Genomic DNA, 26,359 nt, shown 5'->3' with positions numbered 1-26,359 from the left:
TAGATTTGTGATAATTTAATTTTGTACTGCTACAACCTACTATAATAGTTGAATAACACTATCTGTAATATATACTAGTTATAATATAAACACTGTAATATAGACAATTATATACCAGCTGCTAAAGTCAAAGGTATTGCTACTCGGTATTGACTATTTAGAAATTATAGTAAACATATTTTATTTGTGGAAATTTACAAATTCTATTACTAACACAAGAGATGATTAGTATTTCATGCACTCTAGCTAGGAGTTGAAAGCAAGGACAGAAGGTGCTTCATTCAAACATATTCTAACATTACTAGCAACAAATTTCATAAAAAGTAGAGATATGTGGTATGCCTATCCTTGTACTGAATCCCACAAAACTTTAGCTTTCAAGTATCTGTCAAAGGGAATAAGCTAATTTTTAAAGCAATTATTTTTAGAGATACGAAGGACAATAAGAACATCTAGGCTCTTTTAAAAACTCCTTGTGATAGGAGATGGTTTTTATTTCAAAAGCATGTTACATGTAACACAGGACCATGTTTCTTTTAAAAAGTTTCTAAACAAGGAAAGGAAAGTGAAAGCGTACTGGAAAGGCAAGGAAAGTGTTTCGGGCAAGGAAAGTGTCATCAGTGTGCTGTATTGTTGAAATGACTTTAGGGCTTTTGTAGCAACATGAGTTGTTATAACTTTAAAATTTGCTTTTATTTTTATAAATAGGAGCTCATGATCTAGTAATCAAATAGTATTATATTAAGAGGCTTATAATAACAGCAACAGAATAATGGCAGCTTGTTTGACACTTCTCTATGCTATAGTCCTGTTCAATAGAGAAAGCAATGTTTAGCTCGTGTATCTGGTCCTTTTGGTAACTACCTTAATTGTTTTTAATTTAATATGCTTGTATTATTATCTTGATTTATCAACTTTAAACATTACCTAATAACTTCTATTATGATGCCTACATAGGAATTAGGACAGGTGCACCAATTACAGGACTCTTTTCCCACTATTCTCTCAATGTGTTGTTTCTGGTGAAATCATTATTTCCTATTTACATGATTATGACTACATAAATATTATTCTCTAGGTTTACATTTTTAGCACAATATATTTATTTTTCCTGAAGTTTATAAAGTTGTTAGTGATGATTTCAAATTTCAAATATACAAAATAATGAAAATATTTTAATTCCATCCTTCATATGTTTAGATTTCACTCCTCTAGCCTTTCATCCTTCTGCTCCCCTCTCACTGGTTGCTCTCTAAGACTCCCTGTCTTTGTTTTTCTCTGTTGGACTTCTTGTTCCTAGATCGCACTTCATTCTCCTTGATTTCAATACCTCATATTTGCAGAAGTACAACTTCTAGTATCTTTCTAAAAAATACGGCCCATGAGAAGTATACATTTTAGATGTGTACTTCTCTTCAATGAGCTTACCTCCTCCACCCTTCCATCTGATTGAGCATTTTCTTGAGATTTTAAGTTGAAGATTATTCTTGCTCACAATTATGAAAAGATCACTTTGATGCCAGCCTGATTCCCTTTTTGTTTGTAGATGACTTGTTTTACTTTTTAAATTGTTTTGTTGTATGCTTTTTCTTTGTAGGAAACGTTTAAGCATTTCTGAAATTCTTGATATACCTTTGTGTGGAACTGATTTCGTTTGGAGATCGATTTTTTTGTGTGTGCTCAGAAATTTTCTTCTATAGTTTAATTGATAATTTAGTCTTATCAACTGCAACTGTCACAAATATTTTTTTAATGATTAATCAGCCATTGGACCTTCTGCATTGCTCTCCTCTTCCTGTCTTTTGTCGTTTTCCATCTCTTTGTGTCTTTCTTTTAACTTTTGATAGATTTTCTTGATTTTTATCTTCCACTCTTCTATTCATTACAATATTTTATTTGAAAAAAAAAACTAACAGAAAGGGTGTAAAAATATACAACACCTCACTATCTTTTACCCAGATTATCTGTAGAGTTAACATTTGTCTTATTTGCTTCCTTTTTCTGTACATACACACACACACACACACACACACACCCCCCACACACACAGTCCTTTTTTTTTCCTTAGTCATTTTACGTTACATGGTCTTTCACCAGTAAATATTTCAATGTGTGTTTTCTAAGATAAAGATAGTCTTACTTACCTACAGTATGGTAGTAAGATTCAGTAAATGTGACATTGATAAAATACTTTGATAGAATTAGAATACTAGCAGTATATTACATCAATTGAGCCAATTCTTTATAGCATGATTTTCCTCCAGCATGGAGTCCAACCTAGAATCATGTATTGCAATTAGTTGTCATATCTCTTCAGTCCCCTTCAATCTGGAAAACCTCTCCAGCTTTTCTTGCCTTTCACGACAATACCATTTTTTAAAGATAAAATTCCCCCTGTTTTTAATAGAATGTTCTTGTTTTTGGTTTGTCTTATGTTCTACTGGTTTTTTAAATTTTATTTTTCATACTTTTCCAATAACTTTTTTGTTATTTTTTATAGCATTCATTTTTTGATTTAGTACAACACATACTGTTTTCTCACTCCAACATTGGTTATGTGTAATATTTCCCTGTTCTTTGATTATAGACATTATCTCTATTTCAGTCCTTTTTAGTTGTTACTGTAGGTCTCAACTACTCATGCTGAAATTTTGCTTCCATTGCTGATGATCTGTGGCTCTTCATTCATATTTCACAAGGGAATTTTAGAATGGGGGCTTGGGTAATATAATTGGTGTTCTAGAAACCAAAAAGGGAAAGAAGGTTACAGGTCCCTTGATTATGTGAACTTCCAATAATAGCTCTGATCAAAATCTAACATTTAACAGGTTTAATTTATTCACAGAATAGTATACTTCGGATTCAAGGGATTGAGAGAAAGGGAGGTGATGGGAATGAAGAGGTAATTGCCCACTGTAGAGGAAGAGAGAGCAACCACCTTAGAACTTGATGAATTTTTCTCTGTTCAGAACTGCAGTTCATTCGTGCCTTCTAAAGCACTCAGTTTTTCCAAGTGGTGAGTTGCTCACAGCTTCTCTGAGTGATTTGCTAACTTCTTGTGGGGGCTCCACACTGTGGGCATATAGGCAGTACTTTCTCAGCCCTGCTATATGAATCATTTCTCCACCTGCTTCCCATCCTCCACAATTTATTGAATTATGGCACAGGGATTAAGTGTATGACTTTACAACGACACTGCTTGGACTTGAATACTAGCTTTGCCACTTACTGAATATGTGATAATCAGCAAATTGCTTAATGATTCACCATTTCCTCATTTATAAAATGGAGGTAATGATAGGAATGTTATGGTTGCTAAATGAATTAGAACAGTGTGGGACACATAATATCAGCTGCTCTCAATTACACTATTGTCTTTTCTACTATCTTTAGTTTTTTTTTTTTTACTTCTATAAATTGGCTTTTTAAAAATTATTTTCCCATAATTTGTCTGAAGCTTGGAGAAGGAAAAGAGATTGATACCTACTGTTAATTCATCAGTCTTTGTTTAAAAAAAAAAAAATCAGGGCTTTTAATTTTATCCTCTGCCATTTTTTTCCCCTGAGCAGTAAAACTATTATGTAATTTGTAAGTTCTCTTGAATATACTCTATTTCATCTTAAGACCAGAAAGAATCAGGACTTTCTTAATCTATATATTAAAAAAATCATTCTAAGATATTTTACTAGAATTAATTATATGTGTGAGTGTCATAGCTCTTAAATCATTATTATTTTGAGATACTGCTATTCATGTGAGAATTTATGTTAGGAATGAATTAAGGACACATTCTTAATTAATATTATATAACCTTACAAAAAGAGATTTCTATTTTACTATGTATTAAACAGGCAAACAGAAACCCTATCTTATGTGCACAGACATTTATGTTATAGAAATTCACAATTATTTAAATATTTATAAAATGAGAGTTGAAAGCAGCACTTTTGAAAAGCAGTTAATAATGAACAGACATCAAGGGAGCTATCATTATAACAGCAAAGTGCTTTGCAACTCCAATAACTTCAGTGGTGCAGAAGCAGGCCATCAAATTTAATTAAAAGCAGTCAAAAATAAACTGAGAAATTGAACTGTAAAAGGCTGTCCTTTGCCAGGAGCTAAAGGCAAAAAGAAAGCAAGGTAGAGCCTTGAAAGTAGTAATGAATTGATAAGCCTTAGTGCCTGCAACTTGTAATTCGCTCTGTCAGATTTTAGTATCAGTTAAACTAGATTAATAGAGCAATCACTGATCTTCTATCTTAAATCCTTCTTCGTTCATCCTGCGTTATAGGCTCCCATGATAGATGGAAGCCGGAGTGGGTCAAAATTTCTATTCACTTCTCTACTCAGTTTTTAAATAATGCTGGCATCTACATTTTCTGGACATCAGAATTCTGATATGTTAAAAGCAGGAATAAATTTAGTTATCGACAGGCTATAGCCCTCCTTTCTAAAGAGGCTTAACTCCTTCTTATTCAACTGAGGAAGAAATCCCCTGGAACCTGAGCAGTGAGCAATTGGCATCTCCTTCTACCACTAGGGGCTACCATGGTGAAGTGAATGATAAAGAGGACGTAACAAATTTATTGTTGCTTTAAACGTTCAGATTAATGTGGATCTGCAGAAACAGTACCACAAGGACAAAAACAATTTGCCCTCCATCATTTTATTTTTATAATAATGTTCTTTAATGAAGCTAAAGCCTCCCTGCTGTGACCTTATTATGTTTTTCAACATCAGTGAGAAATAGATTCCTTCGAATTGTTAGAGAGCTCATGAAACAGCAGGGATATTGAAGTAGAGGATCAATTACCTTTTAGCAGTAATTTTGAACTTTAAATGGCTATAGCACAGCCTATGTAAACAAGAAGACAAATCAGCTTATTGAAAAGCAGTGTGCAAATTATCCAGACCACAAAAAGCTGAGGTAAACAAACTGTTCTGTTTTCTAATATCCTTCAACGTTTGCACAGTGTCTCATCAAAGAGCAAGTGCCTGAGACACTGTTTTGGAAGACACAAACCAAAACTGACAACAATTTTGTCACTGATTTAAATGTAAAACTTAAAACATGTCTAAGAAATTTGAAAATTGCTAACATTGCTGCTTATGGGTTAAATCCCGTTTATTGTAACCTCAAGAAAAGATCTTTGATTATGATGAAAAAAAACTTCAAGGTGTATATGAAGATAGAAACAGAAAAGCGTATAGGTGTTACAAATGTAACAGATTATTACTGCATTTATGAAATACTGTAATTCCTGAAGTCCTATTATATCCACATGTCACTCAATCCTGGCAGCAGCTTAGTAAGACATGAATTCAAACAGGCATTGATATCTTACAAATGCTGCAGTAACGAAGACTGAGGCTCACTCAGGCAGGTTAAATAGTTAGCACCAGGTCATACAAGCACCTGAAACTACCTAATATAGCCCGTTGTTCTTTCTCTTTAGTATTTATGAGAACTCCCAACTTTTAAAATGCAAATCATTAAGCTGCAATATAGTCTGCCTTACCAAAGTCTGTAATTTCCATTTCCATCTGCTGCATTCAGGCAGGAACTTCTCATTTGTGCTGATAGGGGAGTTACATGAATCATTGGGCCTTTAGACAATGCAAGCTCTTAAGTGTACTTCATTTGAATAATTATCCGAATGCGGCACATGCAGGACTCCACAGCCATCTAAAGGGTGGGAAACTGAGTTCACTGGTAAGGGAGGTGTCTGAAAAGCTTCTGCAAAAATGGCACATGAGTTGAAAGATACATTCCTTCCTGTGGGGGGACTTTGATTCCTGCCCAAAGAGAGACTGGGTTGAGGTGAAGTTTGGGCCAAGCCACCAATTCACCCAGCTCAATGGAATTGACTCAGAGAGATGACTGGAGGTCAAGGTAATAGGGTCCTGAAACTAGTTAGAAGGAAGAGAGGGTATGTTTTTAAGAGGTGCTAAATCAGTATGAAAAGTAGAGTAACAAAAAATTAGGAGCAAAAACACCCTAAAATTTAAATAATATGACTTATTCATTTTATATAAATCAAATATTGTCATTCATTTGGATATTTTAACTTTTTTAAAGCTATTTTTAGTTGTTTAACATTAGCAAATAAAAGGCTGCCAGATGTTATTCTATCTCCTCAACATCAAGATTAGTATGATTAATTAAAATTAGAATAAAAAACAATAATGGCATTCATTGATCTGTAACTATATGCCATTTTTCTGAGGACTGTACTGTATATTTAGGTATTGATTAATTTTGAATTGATGTTTGTATAGGGTTGGAGGCAGGGGTCTAATTCTTCTGCAGGTGGCTATCCAGTTCTCCTAGCACCATTTATTAAAGATACTACCTTTTCAACAGTGAATATTCTCGATACCCATGCCAAAAATCAGATGGCTATAGATACGTGGATTAATTTCTGCATTCTCTATTGGTTCTATTGGTCTCTTTCTGTTTTTATGCCAGTGTTATGCTGTTTTACAGTTACTACAGCTTTGTAGTGTATTTTGAAGTCTGGTAGCGTCACGCCTTCAGTTTTGCTGTTTTGTCTCAGGATGGCTTTGGCTACTTGAAGTATTTTGTGCTTCCATTTACATCTTATGATTTTTTTTCTATTTATTTGAAGAATATCCTTGACATTTTGATAGAGATTTAATCGAATCAGATTGCTTTGGATAGTTTTGTGATTCTAACAATATTCTTCTAATCCATGAGCATGGGGTGTCTTTTTATTTGTATCTTCTTCAATTATTTTTATCAATGTTTTGTAGTTTTCATTGTGGAGTTTTTTTTTTTTTTTTTTTACCTCTTTGGTTAAATTTATTCCTAGGTATTTTATAAGTTTCTTGTAGCTATTGTAAATGAGATAGTTTTCTTGATTACTTTTTCAGCTAGTTCATTTTTCCTGTATTGAAATGTGACTTAATTTTCATATTGATTTTTATATTCTGCAACCTTGCTGAATTTATTTATCAAGTCTGAGATTTTTGGTAGACTCTCTAGATTTTTCTATGTACAAAATCATGTCATCTAGGTACAGATAATTTGACTTCTTTCTTTCCAATTTGTATTCCTTTTCTTTCTCTTGCCTAATTGTTCTGGGTAGGACTTCGAATACTATGTGTAATAAGACAGGTGAGAGTTGTCTTTTCTCGTTCTTAGGGAAAAAGATACCAGCTTTTCACTGATCAGTAAGATGTTTTGGGTTTGTCATATATGACCTCCATTATGCTGAGATATGTTCCTTTTATACCTAATTAATTTAGAGTTTAAATCATTAAAGGATGTTAGTGTCAAATGTATGTATTGATAAATGGCTTTTGTCCTTCATTCTACAAATGTGATGTATCACATTTATTGATTTGCATGTTAATCCATCCTTGCATTTCTGAGATAACTCCCATTTAATCATGGTGTGTTATCTTTTTGATGTGTTGTTGGATTTGGTTTGTTAGTATTTTGTTTAAGACTTTTGTGTCTCTGTTCATCAGGCTATTGGCTTGCAGTTTTCTGTTTAGCTATTTTTATATCCTTGTCTGCTTTTCATATTATGGTTATGCTGACCTCAACAAATAATTTGGGAGGAATACCTTCTGCTTCATTTTTTTGGAATAGCTTGAAAAGAATTGGTGTTAACTCTAAAGATATGGTAGAATTCAGTGGTAAAGACATCTGGTCCTGGATTTTTTTTTTTTTTTTTTTTAGGAAATTTTCTGGATTTTAAAATGTATTGGAGTGTAGTTGTTCATGGTGGTCTCTAATAATGTTTTGTATTCCTGTGATCTCCATTGTGACTTTGATTTTATTTCTGATTTTATTTAGGTCTACTCTCTTTTTTTTTTTTTTTTTTTTTCAGTCTAGCTAATGGCTTGTCAATTTCATCTTCTCAGAAACCCAACTTTTTGTTTTGTGGATTTTTAAAAATTTTTTTAGTATCAATTTTGTTTACTTCTGCTTGATCTTTATTCTTCCTTGCTACTAATTTTGGATTTAGTTTGTTCTTTTCTAGACATTCATTGTTAGATTGTTTATTTACAATTTTTCTAGTTTTTTTTGATGTAGACATTTATTGATATATACTTGCCTCTTAATACTACTTTTGCTGCATTCCATAGGTTTTGGTACATTGTGTTTCCATTTTCATTTGTTTCAAGAGATTTTTAAATTTCATTCTTAACTTTTTCCTACACCCATTATTAGAGAACATGTTGTTTAATTTCCATTAATTTGTATTATTTCAAATGTTCCTCTTGTTATCATTTTATTCTATTGTGATCAATGGGATACTTGATATGATTTTGATTAAAAAATATTTAAACTTGTTTGGTGTCCTAACATGTCAATCCTGGAGAATGTTCCATGTGCTGATGTGCAGAATGTGTATTCTCCAACTGTTGAATGAAATGTTTTGTAAATTAGATCCATTTGTTCTATGGTGAAGTTTAAATCTGATGTTTCTTTGTTTTTCTGTTTTGTCTGATCTAACTATAACTACTGTTAGCTTTTGGTTTCTGTTTGCACAGAACATCTTTTTTTATAACTTTCACCCTATATGTGTCTTTAAAGGTGAGATGAGGTTCTTGTAGGCAACATATATGTATATATGTATACATACATGTATATATATATATAGAGAGAGGATTTTAAAAATCTATTCAACCAATTTATATCTTTTAAATGGGGATTTAGTTTATTTACATTCATAGTTATTATTGATAGGTGAGGACGTACACCTATCATTTGATTGATTTCTTGTTGTTTTATATACCCTTTGTTCCTTTTTTCTTTTATTATTTGTGGTTGGTTGGTTTTCTATAGTGATATGGTTTTATTCTTTTCTCTTTCTCCTGTGTGTATCAGTGAATTTGAGTTTTGTATGTTTCCATGATGGTATTTACCACCTTTTTACTTCTAGAGCTACAATTCTCTTGAACATTTCTTGTAAGACTGGCTAGTAGTAATGAGTTCCCTTAGTTTTGCTTGTCTGAGAAACATTTCATTCGTCCTCCATTTTTGAAAGATGGTTTTGCTGAATATAGTATTTGTAGCTGACAGTTTTTTGTTTTTTTTTTTTTAATTTTAGTACTTTGGATATATCGCCTCATTCTCTCCTTGCCTCTAAGGTTTCTGCTGAAAACTATGCTGTTAATCTAGTGGAAATTCCCTTATATGTTACTTAATGTTTTTCTTTTCCAGCTTTTAGAATTATTTGTCCTTGATTTTCTTCAACTTGACTATAATGCGCCTTGGAGTAGACCTGTTTGGGCTGAATCAATCTGAAGTTCTTTGACCTTCCTGGATCTGGATGTCCATCCCTCTAACAAAACAAGATGTTTTCTGCTATCATTTCATTAAATATGATTTTCTCACCTTTTTTCTTGAATGCTTATAATAACATATTTGTTCACTTAATGATCTCCCATAAATCCTGTAGGCTTTCTTCATCATTCTTTTTTATTTATTTTTTTTTCCTGGTTCATTTAAAAAGATCTGTTTTCAAGGTCAGAAATTTGTTTCTTCTGCTTGGTGGTCTAGCCTGTTGTTAAAGTTCTCAATAGTATTTTTTTAAATTAATTGAATTATTCAGCTTTAGTACTTCTGTTTGGTTCTTTTTTTAATGATATCTATCTCTTTATTTAATTTCTCATTCAAATCATGAGTTGTCTTCCTGATGTTCTTGAATTGTTTATCTGTATTCTCTTATATCTCACAGTTTCCTTAAGATTTATTATTTTGAATTCTTTTTCTGGCATTTCATATATTTCCTTATGATTGGTATCTGTTTACTAGATAATCAGTTTTTTTTGGAGATGTCATGTTTCCTTTGTTTTTTATGTTTGATGTGTTCCTACATTAATTTCCATGCATTTGGTAGAAAAGTAATCTAGTTTAATTTTATGGTGTTAGTTTCATATGGAAAGATATGTTCATACGAATGGGTCTTGGGCTGTCAGTTTGGTAGGGTGTGTGGGCCTTCATTCTAGGTAGACACATTTGTGTTGTCTCCATGTCGTTTCTACAGCTCTAACCCATGCTAAAGGCATTTGCAAGTTGCTCAGTAGCCTATGCTAAGAGAGTTTGTGGTGATAATGGCGAGGCTTTGCTGAAAGTTGGCTCACCGGGCTATTTTTCAGGTCAGGGGCATATGTGTGCACACAGTGAGTCCAACAACTTGGTGTCTGGCTCACTGGGTTTGGGGCTACAGGGATGTTACTCTGGCTAGGAGCATGGGCATGCAGTTTTTCTGCCAGCCTGGAAGCATGTCTTCCAAGGGCAGCCTGTGGGTCTGTTTTGCAGGCCCATGACATAGAAGCAGTTTCCTAGCTAGTTTGGGGGCATATTTGCCCAAGTGACCCACAGGGCTACTTCTCAGGCCTGAGATATGAGCACAAGCAGGCTCAGCTGGCCCGGGAGTGTGTCTGCTGGTAGTCAGCTTATGTATGGGGATGTTTTTCAAGCTCAGAATACAATCACATGCTCTCTTGGCTGGTCTGGGTGCATGTTTGCTGTGGGTTGCCTACAGTGCCAGAACACAGGCGCGGTAAACACGTACTCGGAACGCAGGCCCTCAGCTGTTCAGCCAGCCTGGCTGTGTGTCTTCTAAGGGCAATCTGCAAGGCTGTAAGTCAGGCCTAGAATGTGAGAGAAAGGCTGTTTGGCTGGCCTCTGATTGTGTCTGCTAAGTGCAGGCACAGGGTTATTTCTTAGGCCCCTGACGTGGCTACACGGCTACTCAGCATGTCCACTAGGGGTGGACACCTGAAGCTCAAGGCCCAAGACATATACTCTTTGCTGTTTTCCTGGCCCATGGGTGTGCCCACTAGGGGAAGCCTTTGGGACTGTTTCTCAAACGCTGACTGCAGGCACAGGGCTGTTAAGCAAGCCAGAGACATGTCTGGAGTAGCAGGGGTTGCTGTGGGGCTGTTTCTCAGACCCTGAATGCAGGAACATAGCTGCTCCACTAGTCTGGGGGTGTATTAGCTGCTCAGAACCTCGGAGTTCTCTCCTGCATTGGGAAAGGAGTGCAGCATTTGGCTAGTTCAAGGGTGGGTTTGCCCAAGGCAGGACTGTAAGATTATTTATCTGGCTAGAAGTGTGGTACCAAATACTGGTTTCTGTACTGTACAGGACCAGAATCACAGCTGATCCTAGGCCCAGAGTCCACATAGCTGGGGTTGTAGCATTCAGTCACTATTGTCGGCTTGTCATAATGAAGATGGTGCCCTGTGTTGGCCCCCAGAACAATGCATATTCCAGAGGTGGCTCTGATCTTGAGATGGCAACATGCTGTGGCAGCTTGGCTAATGGCAGGGAATGGGAGGTGGGAGGTGGAGGGAGAGAGTACACACCTTGTGCTCCTAATCCAGGGTAATGAATTCCCAGCAATTCTCTAAACTGGTTTCAGGGTTTGTGTGGACTGTGAAGTTCTCCTGTTGTATGAGACTGTAGATGTTTACATAGGCAATGGGGCTTGTGGGGTTCTTCTGCTTACCTTTTCCTGGCAATAGGAAGTCCCTCCTGACTCAGCAAATTAGATCAGGGTTGGGGAGATGGGTCTGCAGATTCTGGGTGCCTCTGTGCTGCCCTCCTGAATTTCCAGTCACTACTGGTGCATCTCCACTCCCCTTTCCCTTCGACACTCCAGTCCAATCTTAGCTGTTTATTCATTAACTTGGTCCTTTCTTCTGGGAGAGATGAATGCTAGGCATCTGTAGTCAGCCATCTTGATGAGATCACTCTGTTTTGTTTTTTTTTCCCTATTTGATCTTAAAGCACTTTTATGCCTCCTGCAATTTATATAGCATGTATTTATCACTATTCTTTTACTTTGGGAAATACTGATGCTGAATAGATTCATTATCACTGTTGACTAATATCAAGACTCCTTATCAAAGATTAAGGAAATTTATATTCAGTGTTGCTCTGTAGCTAACCACATTAACAGTGAAATACTATGCATAACATACTTTTCTTTTTTCATAAAAATGAATTTATATAGCAATTAGAATGTAATTTGGAATTATTTTTTATTGGAGCTATATTGTCACACTTTCTGTTGATATCCCAGGAAATTTATGATCGATCACATATTTGTATGATCTTATAAAATGAAATAAGCAGACTTAAAAAAACTTATAAGAATGTTTACAGAAAATCTGATTGTTATTTAATGTGCTTGTCTTTATTTGCATTCATAAAGAAAGAGAGAAGGAAGAGCAAAAAAGTATCAGTTTTTAGGAAATTGTAAGATGCATTGATTATACTCTATTTTTATGTTCTTTCCTATGAGGAAGTTAGAACATTAGCAAAATATAAAAACTCTTGCAATATTCTCAGTGCTATTGAATCACATTTGTTTACAAAAAGAAAAAAAATCTTTACATCTGGATAGTCTAGGGAATATCATTCTCAACTTGGGTTATTGGCTTCTGACATCATTTTATTAGTGCAGTTGTAATTGTAATTATGGATTATAATACCTACTGGCTATTCATTTCTCTCTGCCACCAGAGGGAGATGCAAACTCACGTGTCAGGCTTCAGCACTGATTGCCAACGATACCATTTAATATTATTCAGCTTTCTCTCAGGGGAGCTTCATTACCAAATTATTTCTAGGTAGTGATGAGGCAAAACATGTGCTATTGAGGAGTGTCAGTGCAATCTCAACCTTAATTCATATGGCAAAAAGAACATTATTTTATGCTGAGGAGTCCAAGATAACCCCAGAGAAATAGTGGAATTTACAGCATAATCAAAGTTGGCATTTGACAAGGGAGACTGCTACCTCATGATAAATGAGTTGACTCTAAATTTTGGACAAATGTTTTAGTTTGTATGCTGTAGTTTGTATATTCCAACTCAGAACAAATGACAGTCCTTTGTTTTTTCAACTGAAGTGGCAGGTTTTCCAGAGGGGCTGACCTGCTCCTTTATCTTTTATTTTGATTTTAAATTAAACGATTAAAAAAGTGTATTTATTTGCTTTCACTTTTACTTCTAAATATACTTGACAGAAATTTACTGAATTTCCATCAAGGTTTTATTTTATAGTATTTTTCCCCCACTTACAATATATATTGCAGATATATCAGCAAGGCTGTAGATTATTGACTTTATTTTTTCTTATTCTTGATTGACATTCTCAAATTAATAAATAAACATTATTAAGATCTTACTTTTAAGTCTAATGAATTATGGTAGTATAAGCTGGTTCCATAACAGTGACAAGAAAAAACAGATGATCTCTTTGTATTTTAAGTAAAAATGACCTGGCCACTTTTGAAGATTTAGTTTTCCAAATGTGGTTTTATTAAACAACATCACCACAGGAAAATTTTTAAAATGAATTATTTTATTAACATTTTCTCTTATTTATGATCCTGAAAATTTTACTTAAAAGTAGAAATAAAAAGTTATATTAATTTTGCTTCCTATATCCTACTGTTATTTAGCCCAGTTACTTGGCATTTTGAATGTTATGAAAGTTTATATCTAAAGGGAAATATAAAAGCAACATTTTTTTGAAGTCTGATAAAATGCAAATTATTATGAAAATGAAATAATTGTTTTCCAGAATGTTAACTTTATTAAAATGATTATAAATTTTACACTGCATTTTATTTTAGCAGTATAACTCTGTGTATGGTAATTTAGTTGGGGTAACAAACCCCAAACCATAACAAATGGTAAGGGAGTCAACTCTGACATGAGGTTCGTGTGTATTTGCGTTTCTAAATGCCTTCTTTATGGTGTGGCTAATGTTCATTTTCATGCACATTTGCATTCAAACAAGTTTGGAAGTGTTCTTTTTAATTAGATAGAATCACACACAGAGACTCTAAGTAAGAGTTCTTGCATTTAGCTATAAGAAGTGTCACAATGCAGTATGGGACGAGAGCAATATTTTATCCAGCCTTGGAATTTGTTTCCTGACAAGGATAATAGTTGTTGTCATAGCTGTCTACCTTCCCAAACAAACTAAAGCTAGAAATGTGAAAGCCTTGTTAAAGGAGAGGATGGGGCTGATGTATATTATCCACACAATAAACCAAAGAACAGGAGCAATACCAGGATTACAAGCCAAGCAGACTGGAAATGGAAGAACAAACTATCAACTGTAAGGAGTTAGCCAAAAGACAAATCCAGATATGAAACAATGAATTGGAAACTAGACACCAAACCAAAGCAAGTAGTTTCTAAAGAAAATGATTCCCACTGGAATGAGAACTACGCTACTCGAGCCCATAATGTAATGATTGTTGGGTTTTGACAAAGATTGAAATCACTTTAGAGTGATTAAACTCAGAACTTCTCAGTTTTCCAAGTATTATTCAGTCCATTAGGAGTCTCATGACTTCACACTAGAACTTGGAAAACAGTTACCTGCTTAATAATTTCATCCGATATTTTAAGAAACTCAAGTTTTGTATCAAATGATCTCATGGTAATTAATAAGAAAATGACAAATACATCTATATATAATGCATAAAAGACAAAATTAAATAACAAAAAACAATGCCTAATTCCACAAGCAATTAAATATAAATTGAAGCAACACACTTATAATTTAGTAACTAGAAAAAGAAGAGAGTTAATGGCAATACTTTGTACTAGAAAAGCTGAACAGAAATTTTCAGACCCCTACACTGTCAAGAGGAGTACGTATGTTTTCAAACATCCTTCAAGAATACATTTCTTTCAGCTCAGTATATTTTCTTCTAGAAAATCGTGGGATTATTTGAACAGAACTGCATACTCGTATACAGATGTTGACTGAAAATTGCTATACAGATATTTTTAAAAGATTGCACACATGTATCATGAGAGATGAAAAAATTCACATTACATCAAGCAGCAAAAATGTTCATAAACTATGTCTATTTTATGTAAAAATTCAGGGGTTTGCATGAAACTCTACAATAATACAATTTTCATCAGCTTAACATTTATTCTATGCCAGGAGCTCTAATGAGTACTTTGTATGTAACTTATTTAATCCTGGTAACTGAGATACTGTTGTCCTCTGCCTTCACAGATATGAAAGCTGAGGTACAAACTTGACCAAGATGTCAAGAAAGTAGTAAGCAGTTGAGCCAGCATTTGAACCTGAGGTTATGGCTCCAGAGACCATATATTTACCATAAAATAGTAACACCAAGGAATTAGAACTTTTCTCTAACTGATAGGATGATTTTGTCATTTGTATGCATGCCTTATCTACTATCTATAGGTATTACAAAGAATATGTATTACTTTACTATAAAGAAAAAAATATACAGCTAGCTGCATGTTAGGGAAAAAATAATTGAACTTATAGGCAAAAACAGATGTTGAATCAGGTCTAGTGAATAGTGCATGCTCATGACAAAAAAAAACATTCAATCCACAAATGATGTCCCAAAGGCTCACATGTCTGTATGTTGAAGTCAACTTAGTCAATTTCTTAATTAGTTCATTGAAATATAAATGCACTATAAAGAAAAGTCTGACAATATTAAATTGAGAAATTAAAAAAGTAATTTTACATTTTGACATATTTACACCAATTAAACTGCCCCATATTTTATACATTTTACAGTGATGTCTAAGATAGTGCCTAATAATAAATTCATATAAATATATCAACCAATAATGCATTTAGAATGGAGGGGTTAAGGCCTATGTTTAACTCAATACTACACTGCTTTTTTTCAACTGTCATTTTTAATAAATTTGCATTTATACAGATATGTAAATATTTTAAAGTCTTTCCAATATTACTTCCTAGCAGCTGCCCCTGCCCCCAGCAATCTTGTTAGTTAAATTAATAGGAAAAGCCGTAAAAAAAAAAAAAAAACTTTCAGATTAAAAACTCAACCTAAAATCCCATTCATCAGCATGCTATTCATCCATAGCAATATTATATGAGAGAAGAAAAATACACTCTAAGCACACAGCTGACAGATATGCCATTTCAGGTAGAAATGTGCTGCTTCATTTAATTTTTGATGAACAAAATATGTATATCAGCAATCAAAAATCATTACATCTACTCCCTCCATAATAAAAAGGAAATTCTGAGCTCAGTAGTTTGGAGTTGCTTTTTCAATCCTGGAAAATATGTGAAAAAAATCCTTTATTTACCTCAGTGATATTGATAGAATATGATGTTAATATATGATCATGTCAATTTTAAACCACTTGCTATATAATAGTTTCAGATAAATTGAGGAATATAGCCTATATCTTCTCTCTGTATAATATTTTGGTTTAACTGACCATTAAACTCCAAAGAAGTGTTACCGACCTAGATACCAAAGACAATAATATTTTTATTCTTAGACCTAGCATTTGTATGAGTGCCTATTTTCAAAAACTTCCCAAAGATAAGTTTCATAGATAAATATGTTATATTTTGTTTGTTCATCACTCCTGAAATACTTGATATATTAAGCAACCAGCACAGAAAAAATATAAGCAAGATAAAGAACAGAAAACTCACATATTAAATAGCAAATGGATAGAAAGTATATATTTTAAAGACTGCATAGACAACTAAATCTTTAAAACCCATTTCCCTCATCCAGAACGTTTAATACTTCATTTTATCTGTGGACTATCATTTGAGAAATAATATACATTAACAACCCTGTGGATGGCACATACTCCCAGCAGAAAGGATGCTCAACAAGTACAATTCTGTTTCCTTTGAGTCCTACAGTGAAAATGTCCTTAACAAGGTGTGGATCCAGTACTTTCAAAGGACTAGTCCTCAGACAGGCTGGAGAGACCCCTTCCCACCTGTTCACATGTTCCAGTTGAAATGCCCTCTGTTCCCTTCCTTGACACTCCCCCTTTATACCAGCTATTGATACTATTAGTGTGGAAGAACTCTCAGATGATACAGCAATCACTGCCAGCATAGGCACATTGAGCAGGAATGTTCTATATGTGTAAATTCCAGAGAGGTATTTAATTTTTATTCCAGAATTTACCATCTTCTTTCAATCTCCATGGACTTTTCCTTTGCCCAACTAGATACTTTTTTTTCTGTTAATTTTATTTTCTCATTTCTATTCTAAGATTTTTTTTTTTGTCTTAATGTTCTCTTTATCCTAATCTTGGTGTATATGTTCTCATATTATAATCTCACTGTATACTATATAGTCCTCAAAGTATAAGATGCTATAGGTCAGGTACATGATACATTAATACATTAAATTCAATTATAATTTGCAAAAATTGTGAGTTGTTACACCTGTTTTCCATTAAGCTTCATAGTAATTTATAATTCTATAATACATGTTACTGGTATGAGTGATGAAAATGACAACTGTTAAGTGATTCACTATTTTCATTACAAGAATCAGTAGGGTTCTGATTTTAAAGAGTGCTTATGGTTAGGAGAATTGTATGATTAATTGTGTAAATGGTGGCTATGTTAGGAATGACAGTATTTTCTGAAATTGGTTAGTGTTCACTTTTATGGGACTGAATTGTGTCTCCCTGAAATTCATATGTTGAAGCCCTAATCCCCAATGTGACTTTATTCGGAGATAGAGCTTTAAAAGAAATAAGGTTAAATGAGGTTAGAAGAATAGGACTCTGATCCTACATGACTGATATCCTTAGAAGAAGAAGAATAGACATCAGTGATATGTGTACATTGAGTAAATGTCATGTGAGGACATAGTAAGAAGACAACCATGGTCAAGCCGTGGAGAAAGGGAGGCCTCATGAGAAACCAGACCTACCAACAACTTGATCTTGAATTTCTGTCCTCTTAAAACTGTGAGAAAATAAATTTCTATTGCTTCAGCCACCCAGTCTGTGGTATTTTATTATGACGGCCCTAGCAGACTAATATAATAATAATAGGATGTTTTGTGCAATGATGCTTATATAAGAACCCAAGTGAAATAACAGACTCCAAAACTCCTGATAATCATCATGTATATGACAATTGCACATGACCTAATTAGACTGTGTTTGCCACCGCAAAACAAAAACCTGGAGTTTGGGGAATAGGCAAAAAAGGACACAGAACTCTTGCTTGGAAGATGCTAGCTGAACTCCTCTCATCATTAGGAACTGACCATATAAGGATTTGGTGTGTGTTGGGGAGAGTATGGGGGGTGAGATTTAAAATAAGAAAACTTAGGTAATTTTTCCTAAAGTCTGCTGTGTTCATCTTAATTTTGGCAGTGGTGCTTTTTCACTTTTGTCAGTATGGCTGAAATCTTGGAGGCCACAAACGCAGTGAATTAAGAATAAGTTCTATGAGCCAGATCTCATATTAATCTATCAAGATTTTTTATTCAGAAGGAATTTATTAGATTTCTTGAAAGAGAATAATCTTATGAATGTGCTTTTGAAAACTAACAGTGGTCTGTAACAAAAAACTCCATGTACATACACTTTTGAAAAGTGGGTTTCAATTTAATTAAAAATACTGAGTTTTTCCTTTCCTATGAATTGTCTACATATAATACATTCTAAGCCTTGAGAAATGCTGATTATATGATAGGTGAGTTAAAACATCATAAATGAATTCTCTTTGGAATTATTTAAGTGTAGTATGACTTAAATAAATGTGTCATAGGAATGTCTGTCTTCAACTAACTTCTTTATTAAGCATTTATTTTGGATGACCAATGTAACTATCATCATGTAACAGAAAATAAACGAAAAGCTTCAACCAGTTGCCTACTGATTACGTAGGCACCAATACAGGTTAACCAGTAAAAGATAAGATAAAAGCAATGATTATCTGTATAGTGTAGTCTATATAAAATAAAGACAACGATAACAATTGAGTATAGAGTGAAGTTGGAATTACTGGAGGGACCTAGAGCTGTATCACATACGTACAAAAAAGCACACTTCTCACATCCAAGATGAAAAATTTTGAATTAACTCTTTTTTTCTTTCCTTAATATTTTATAACAAATATGTCATGAAACTGGTTGTACTTTAAAAGATTCTCCTCTTTTCTTTTCCTTACTAGAGCCTGACACTCTCTTCTTCCCCCATGACTAGATTACTTGAATAACTTGTATGCCTGCACAAAACTCCAGGAGTTTGCCTCGCAGGCATCCTGTATTTTTTCTATTCTGTGTCCTCCTAAAGCTTTACAACATGCTTCTCAGCTGTACTTCAAGTTACAAAGACTTCTATTGCCTAGAGCATCTGGCTTAAAATTTTATCTCTGACAACTAAAACCACCGTATTCTGGTCCCACCTTATCTTAATAGTCTGTTAATTCTCCACACACATGCTTCTCCAGTCAAGGCAGGTTCCTCATGAGTTTGCACTTATACCTTAGGCCCCTATGTTCTGTTTAGTTCTCTCTTTTGTCCTTGTTTGTATACTTTTTCCTGACTATAGTAATGTCTATATTCTTTGTCTGTTTATCTACTCGTCCAGTTTTGGTTTAATTTTCCTCTTAGTGTCTTGAATTCTTCTGTATTAGTAGTGCAAATATAGTTACGCAGTAGGAAATTTAATTACATGATATCTTGGGTTTTGTGCTGAGTTTTATAGCATGTCATTTGTAAAAATTTCTGAGAATAGGGACCAGTATATTATTTTTATGAACACATGTGTATAGTTATTTTATAAAATTTCCTTTATTGAACAACTTTTTAAGATAAGTATCTGACTGGCTTGATAACTAGTATATAGGTATGTAGAGCCAAGTTTTTGTATGTAGCCATAAACCTTGTTGTCGTATATGAGGATGACATATGTGACAATATAGTTGTTTGCAGACTTAGATTTAGAATGTATTTTATATGCTCTTTAGTGTTCATTTACTAGTCAATAACAACAATTGAGCTAATTATTTAAAACTCTACCTGAAATATAATTCTGATTAAAAAAAGAACCCTGACTTTCAATAATCAAACTGAATTTAGGGTGACTATATGTTTGCAAAGTAAATGAGGAGCTACAGAAGATATGTAGATACAAACATACATACGTATGTGTAATGGTCTAGAAAGAACTTTGAAAAAAAATGTCGTGTTCAAGTACGAACTAAATTGGCTAAGTTCAGGCATGGGAAGGTGAGTTACTTAGATGGTATGCTCTCATTAGAAAGGAAAACTACTGAGTAGATCACAATGAATATTAAACAGAACACTGATAATATATGCCTCACTGATTTGCATATTTAGGAAGATGATTTAAGCACACAAAAAAATCCATGTTTATGCATGTTGTTCTTTAATGAACTGAATAACAATATGGGACAGATTAAAGGCACTTTCAGTATGAGAAATTAAATCCCCACTTCGTTATTTCACCAAGGCATATCATTGCCCACCTACGATTTCTCTGAGTTTGATCTTGGTTGAACAAAACTTCGGTGAATGTCTTTTATGTCATCTATTTTCCAAATAAATTTGCATGTGTCATTACATTTTCTCAAATTAAAAAGATGTTTAAGCTTTATTCTCTGTCTTTTTAACCTTATATTTTGCCTTATGTTTATCTAATGGTTCACCTTTTTTGGAGCATTTTTTTAAATGCATTATTGCATTTAATCCTTTTGAGACAGGATATTTTTCTGCTTATTTTGTAGGTGTGGAAGGAAGCTAAGGCTAAAAAAATTACTGTGGCCATTTTTAGTGATACAGTTGAGAGCATAACCTTTGGTTTGTGATCTTACCCTTTGAGATAATTACAGTCTAATTGAGGATTCAGAATAACAAAAAGTGAATACACTTTAAAATATTAAAATAACAGTACAAAGATTTCAATTTGAAAACAACTGTAGAAGAGGTAGTCCTTTTCCCCAATCTTCTAATCACAAGCGTTTTTTTGTTCCCTTTCCTGAAATAATTGTCATATTTTGGTAGTCAGTGTAAGATAATTTTACAGAAGTGACCTATCTTAGCGAACATCTGACTTCCTGATTCTCATTTCTTGTAGTTCATCAAACGTTTGGCTGAAAACATATTTGAGATTTAGAAAAGAAAAACATTTCCAGCTTTAGACCCAGACACACTGTACCACCCATCTTTGTCTGACACAGAGAGATTCTTTGTGAGAAGAGAGAGAAGTGAGATGATGAAAAGGAACAAGCTGTGCTTTGGGAAACTGTCTTTTCACTATCATCAGTGCACCTGGAGGACTGAACTTTGCCAGGGGTAACTGGTTTGCTGATGATCCCAAAAGTGAAGCAGGGGCTTTGACCCAAGATAGAGGTTAATGTTACTATTACTGTCTGTAGGTTGTGAGTCAATGACCCTATTAGTTGATTGACACATTTTGAAAACCGAGTTTATTGTTATGGTCAAATGTAACTTAGAAGACAGTTGTTCTGAAACACATTGAATAAGATGCATAGTCATGATGGTGCTTCATGTTAATTAGATAAAGCTAGAGAGTTAAGATGATCCAGTGAAAAACTTCAAGTACTTTAGAATTTCCTGGCATCCCTGATCCTAGGGTAAGACAGAAAGAAGAAAGAGGGAATGGTTTTAAACTGTGGACGTCCACAGAGATCAATCATATTGATTTGTTTAATTATATCTTATTTTTCTTGTATTATTTAATGCTATTCTTTCAGTAAATATTAACAGAGCTGCTTCTCAGTCTCAGGCACTGTGTACTATGCTGGAAATGTAAAGTAAGTGATACAGAACTAATCTGTTTCATGAGAAATACCCATTATTTATTGGGTACCTGATCTGTGTGTAATGGAATTCTAAGTGCTTTATCAATATTTTCTCACCAACTTGTGAAACTGTTTCTATGATTATCTCAGTTTTACTAATGTGGCAACAGGCACAGAGATCTTTATAAAGACAATGACAATTTTTGTTAGAGTGCTAATGGTCTTTAAGCATCTAAAGTAATAGCTTAAAATACTACTCGAGTTCTTCATCACATACAATATTAGAAAATAAAAAATTAAAACTATTAGGGAAGAAAATATAAAGTGAAGCAAATGCATTCATTCATATGCATGCAATCTTTCTGCTATGCAAGATATATAATCATTGGAAGAAAATTATTTGATTCAACAAATTAGCTGTTTCTTTCACATTTGATTACTTATTTCATGCTACAGGTGGTTAAGAATATATGTCTTTAGCTCAAATACACATATACATATGTAAAATCCTTGATTTTTACTGGAATTTTCGATGTTTTTCACTCAGGTAAAACTCCCTTAATTAAAATATAGGATATTTTGGCAGAATTAGAGTGAGCTACAGTTTTATTTTCACTGTTAGCCAACGTCACACTTTTGATATTACACAAACAAAAAAATGTAGAAAATGTTGCTGTGTGTTGAAAATTTGCTATCACCTAAATGTCCAAACGCAATTCATACTACAGTGTGCTTGGAAAAAGTTTGTGAATGAAAGATGAGCTCTAGCTCACCTTTACATCTCCAAGTTCACCTGAGTTTTATCTATGTATCTAAGGTATCTATCATCCTACCTACTGATCTGTATCTGAACTCATCATCACCCCATGATTTTGAATGTGTTATCAATAATACCTTCACAAGCCAGCAACTAAATAAACAGATACATGGTGCTAGTCAGGTGAGCAAAGTTGAAGTGTGCATTTCTAAATGTGCTAGTTTCTTTTTTATTTAAATATAAAATTGAGGTTTTAAATACTGTGGTTATCTTGAGACCAAATTTCTACACTGTTATGTAATCAACATACATGACTTCAGATGTATGACTCTTGCATTTTAGTGATTGGTATATGATTATTTATTCAAAAGTAGAGCACCGGCAGAAAAAGAAACTAAAGAATCATACTCAGGAAATGAAAACAATACATTAATGGTATGGGAAACTAAAATTCTTCATTTCTTTGGTTTACACGATGTTGCAAAAATTATTTAAGTATTCACAAAGATACATAAATTAGAACACAGTGAGATAACTGTAAATTAAAAATAGATAAGAAAGAAATAGAGAGCACAGACATTCATGCATGGGCGCTGATGCACGTACACACAAGCTTAGAATTATAAAATAGAATCAACAATAAGGCTGATGGAAAACACATATCAATTATATGAAAACAGTAAACCTTTGGAGAAGGGAAAAAGTTGGTAAGAGTAGAAGCAGCCAATAGGTATTTACCAGACCTATTAGCTAAATTTTAGGAAGTCTGATTTCAAAGAGTTCATATGATACTAACTGTGAAATAGAAGATGTAATATGAAAATTACAGATCATACAATCCTAACGACTATCTAAATAAAAATATTTGCTGTTTTCATGATGGTGAGCGAGTTCTCGCAAGATCTAGTCTTTTGAGAGTGTGTAGCACTTCCCCCTGCTCTTGCTCTCTGGCTCTGACATGTAAAGATGTGCTTGCTTGCCATTTGCCTTCTGCCATGATTGTAAGTTTCCTGGGGCCTCCCCAGCCATGCCTCCCATACAGCCTCCAGAACTGTGAGTCAGTTAAACCTCTTTTCTTTGTAAACTACCCAATCTCAAGTAGTTATTTATAGTAATATGAGAACTAACTAATATAATCAACTCACCACTAGCTTCGGAGAAAGAAAGAAGTCAGATTTCTCTGGTCTTTTTTATTAAGAATTTATTTATTTTAATAATTTATTAAAATATTCTGACATATTTTAAACTTTGGTTATATATTTCCCCAGCAACTGTTAATTCTTAGATATTTAATATATTTTATTTATCAGAAATTACTGTGTTAATGTAGCATCATCCTTTTGTAAAAGCATAATGAAAGAGGATTATCTTTGCAATGCATTTTTTAAGATTTGATCTCATCCATAGTTATGACAACTTATCCCACATGTTGCCTCTAGGTTTTAAGCACTATTTCAGGAGGTTGAACATCGAAGGTCTAATAGTTTTAAAGAAAACATTAATGAACTCTGAAAATTGTTTTATAATTATAATGACATATTAGAACTTTAAAAATATTGTATGCTAAGCTTCTCTAAAACAGTGGCTGCTAAAGGCTAGTCCGAGACATATAATTGGGATGGTTATATCAGAAAATCCACTCTTGCTTCCAGTCTCGCCGTGTTATACACAGGCACCTGCTTTGCTCTCCACTATGACTGTAAGCTTTCTGAAGACTTTCCAGAAGCTAGGTGGATGCTGGTGCCATTGTTGTACAGCCTGCAGAACTGTCAGACAAATAAACCTCTTTTCTTTATAAAGTAACTCAGCCTCAGATATTTCCTTGTAACAATGCAAAATGGACTAATACATAAAATTGGCACCAAGGAGTGGGGCATTGCTATAAAGATACCTGAAAATTGGGAGGTCAATGTGGGCGGATCATGAGGTCAAGAGATAGAGACCATCCTAGCCAACATGGTGAAACCTCATCTTTACTAAAAATACCAAAGTTAGCTGGGTGTGGTGGCACGTGCCTGTAGTTCCAGCTACTCGGGAGGCTGAGGCAGGAGAATCACTTGAAGCTGGGAGGCAGAGGTTGCAGTGAGCCAAGATCGTGCCACTGCATTCCAGCCTGGCAACAGAGCAAGACTCCATCTCAAAAAAAAAAAAAACCTGAAAATGTGGAAGCACCTTTGGAACTGGGTAACAGGCCGACTTTGGAAGAGTTTGGAGGGCTCTCAAGAAGACAGGATGACGAAAGAAAGTTTAGAACTTCTTAGAGACTTGCGCTTGTGACCAAAATGCTGATAGAAATATGGACAGTGAAGGTAAGGCTGATGAAGACTCAGATAAAAATGAGAAAGTTATTGGGAACTGAAACAAAGGTCACTTGTGTTTTGCCTTAGCAAAGAACTTGGCTAAATTGGGTCCATGCCCTAGCAATTTGTGAAAGTTTGAACTTAAGGGTGATTATTTAGCATATCTGATAGAAGAAGAAATATCTAAGCTGCAAAGCATGCAGTATGTGGCCTGGCTTCTTCTAAAAATTTTTGATCAAATATGGGAGTACAAAATGATTTAAAGTTGGAACTTTTATTTAAAATGGAAGCAGAGCATAAAAATTTGGAAAATTCTGCAGCCTGGGCATGTGGTAGGGAAGGAAGGAGTGTTTTCAGGGAAGAACTTAATGCAGCTGTGGAACAACCACTTGCTAGAGAGATTTGCATGATATTAAGTGTTTCACTCCATGAACACAGAATATTTCTTCAATATTTCATTTTTTTCTTGTTTTCCCCCCAGCCTCTGGTAACTATTATTCTACTTTCTGCTTCTATTACTTCTACTTTTTTCAGGTTTGTCATGTGTCTTTGTGTGCTTGGCTTATTTCACCTAACATAGTATCTTCTAGGTTTTTCTATGTTGTCACAAGTGACTGGATTTTTTTCTTTCTTAAGACTAGTGTTCCATCTGCATGTATAATAAATCTTCTTTATCTGTTTCTTGATGGACACTTAAGTTGATTCTATATCTTTGTTATTGTAAATAGTGCTGTAACCAAAATGGAAGTGCAGATATCTCTTCCACATACTGATTTTTTTTTCCTTTGGAGGTATATCTAGTAGTGGGATTGCTGGCTTATATGGTGGTTCTATTTTTAATTTTTTGAGGAACCTCCATACTGTTTTCCATAATAGCTGTACTAACTTAAATTACACCAAGAGTATATGAGCTCTCATTTCTTCACATCCATACCAACACTGGTTATCTTTCATCTTTTTGATAATAACCATTCTAACAGCAGTGTGAGGTGATATCTCACAGTGGCTTTAATTTGCATTTCCCTGATGAATTGTGTTATTGAACTTTTTTTATATACTTAGCCATTTGTATGTCTTCCTTACAGAAATATCGATTCACATTCTTTGCCCATTGTTAAATAAATTATTATTATTTTGCTATTGAGTTGTTTTAGTTCCTTATTTATTGGATATTAATCCCTTATTAGATGCACGGTTCAGAAGTACAGTACTTTTTTCCCATTTCATAGTCTCTCTTCACACTCTCCATTATTTAGATCTATGAGTTCTTTCATCTGTTTTGTGGTTCTCTACCTACAGATTCTCTACATATTTTGTTAGATTTGTTCCTAAGTACTTCTTCTTGGGGTATACTATAGTAAAAGTTATTTATTAAACTTACAATTCTAATTGTTCATTGCTGGCATATGAGAAAGTAATTGACTTTTGTGTATTGACCTTGTGTCCTGTGACTTTGCAAAACTCACTTATTAGTTACAGAAAATTTTTGTTTGGTAGTTTTTTGGGGATTTGTTATGTAGATAATCATGAATCCATGAATAAAGACAGCTTTGTTTTTCCTTTCAAAAGAAAACAAGAAAATCCTGGAGAATATGGGATATGCGTAAACTCATAGTCACTATGCACAGAGATTTTAATCCTGTGGGTTTAGTATACAGACTAACATACGTCTTTTTAAAAATTCACTAAGAGATG

At 33.9% G+C, this 26,359-nt stretch overlaps 1 protein-coding gene across 38 annotated transcripts in view, besides 1 other annotated feature; it reads left to right on the top strand.

Annotated features, from left to right (window-relative positions):
- PTPRD (protein tyrosine phosphatase receptor type D) overlaps nt 1-26,359 on the top strand; it is a 2,298,757-nt gene that overhangs the window by 687,844 nt on the left and 1,584,554 nt on the right. The window lies entirely within an intron of this gene.
- Nucleotides 10,069-10,568: an enhancer, noted in NCBI's record as "H3K4me1 hESC enhancer chr9:9914591-9915090 (GRCh37/hg19 assembly coordinates)". NCBI's record gives its function as "activates a minimal SCP1, AML or CMV promoter by ChIP-STARR-seq in primed H9 embryonic stem cells {active_cell/tissue: H9 hESC(primed)}" and the evidence as "EXISTENCE:reporter gene assay evidence [ECO:0000049][PMID:30033119]".

The sequence above is a fragment of the Homo sapiens genome, chromosome 9 (assembly GCF_000001405.40).
Source record: "Homo sapiens chromosome 9, GRCh38.p14 Primary Assembly".
Classification (NCBI taxonomy): Eukaryota; Metazoa; Chordata; class Mammalia; order Primates; family Hominidae; genus Homo; species Homo sapiens.
The sequence above is the reverse complement of the archived record's forward strand: the minus strand, read 5'-3'. Positions and strand labels throughout refer to the sequence as shown.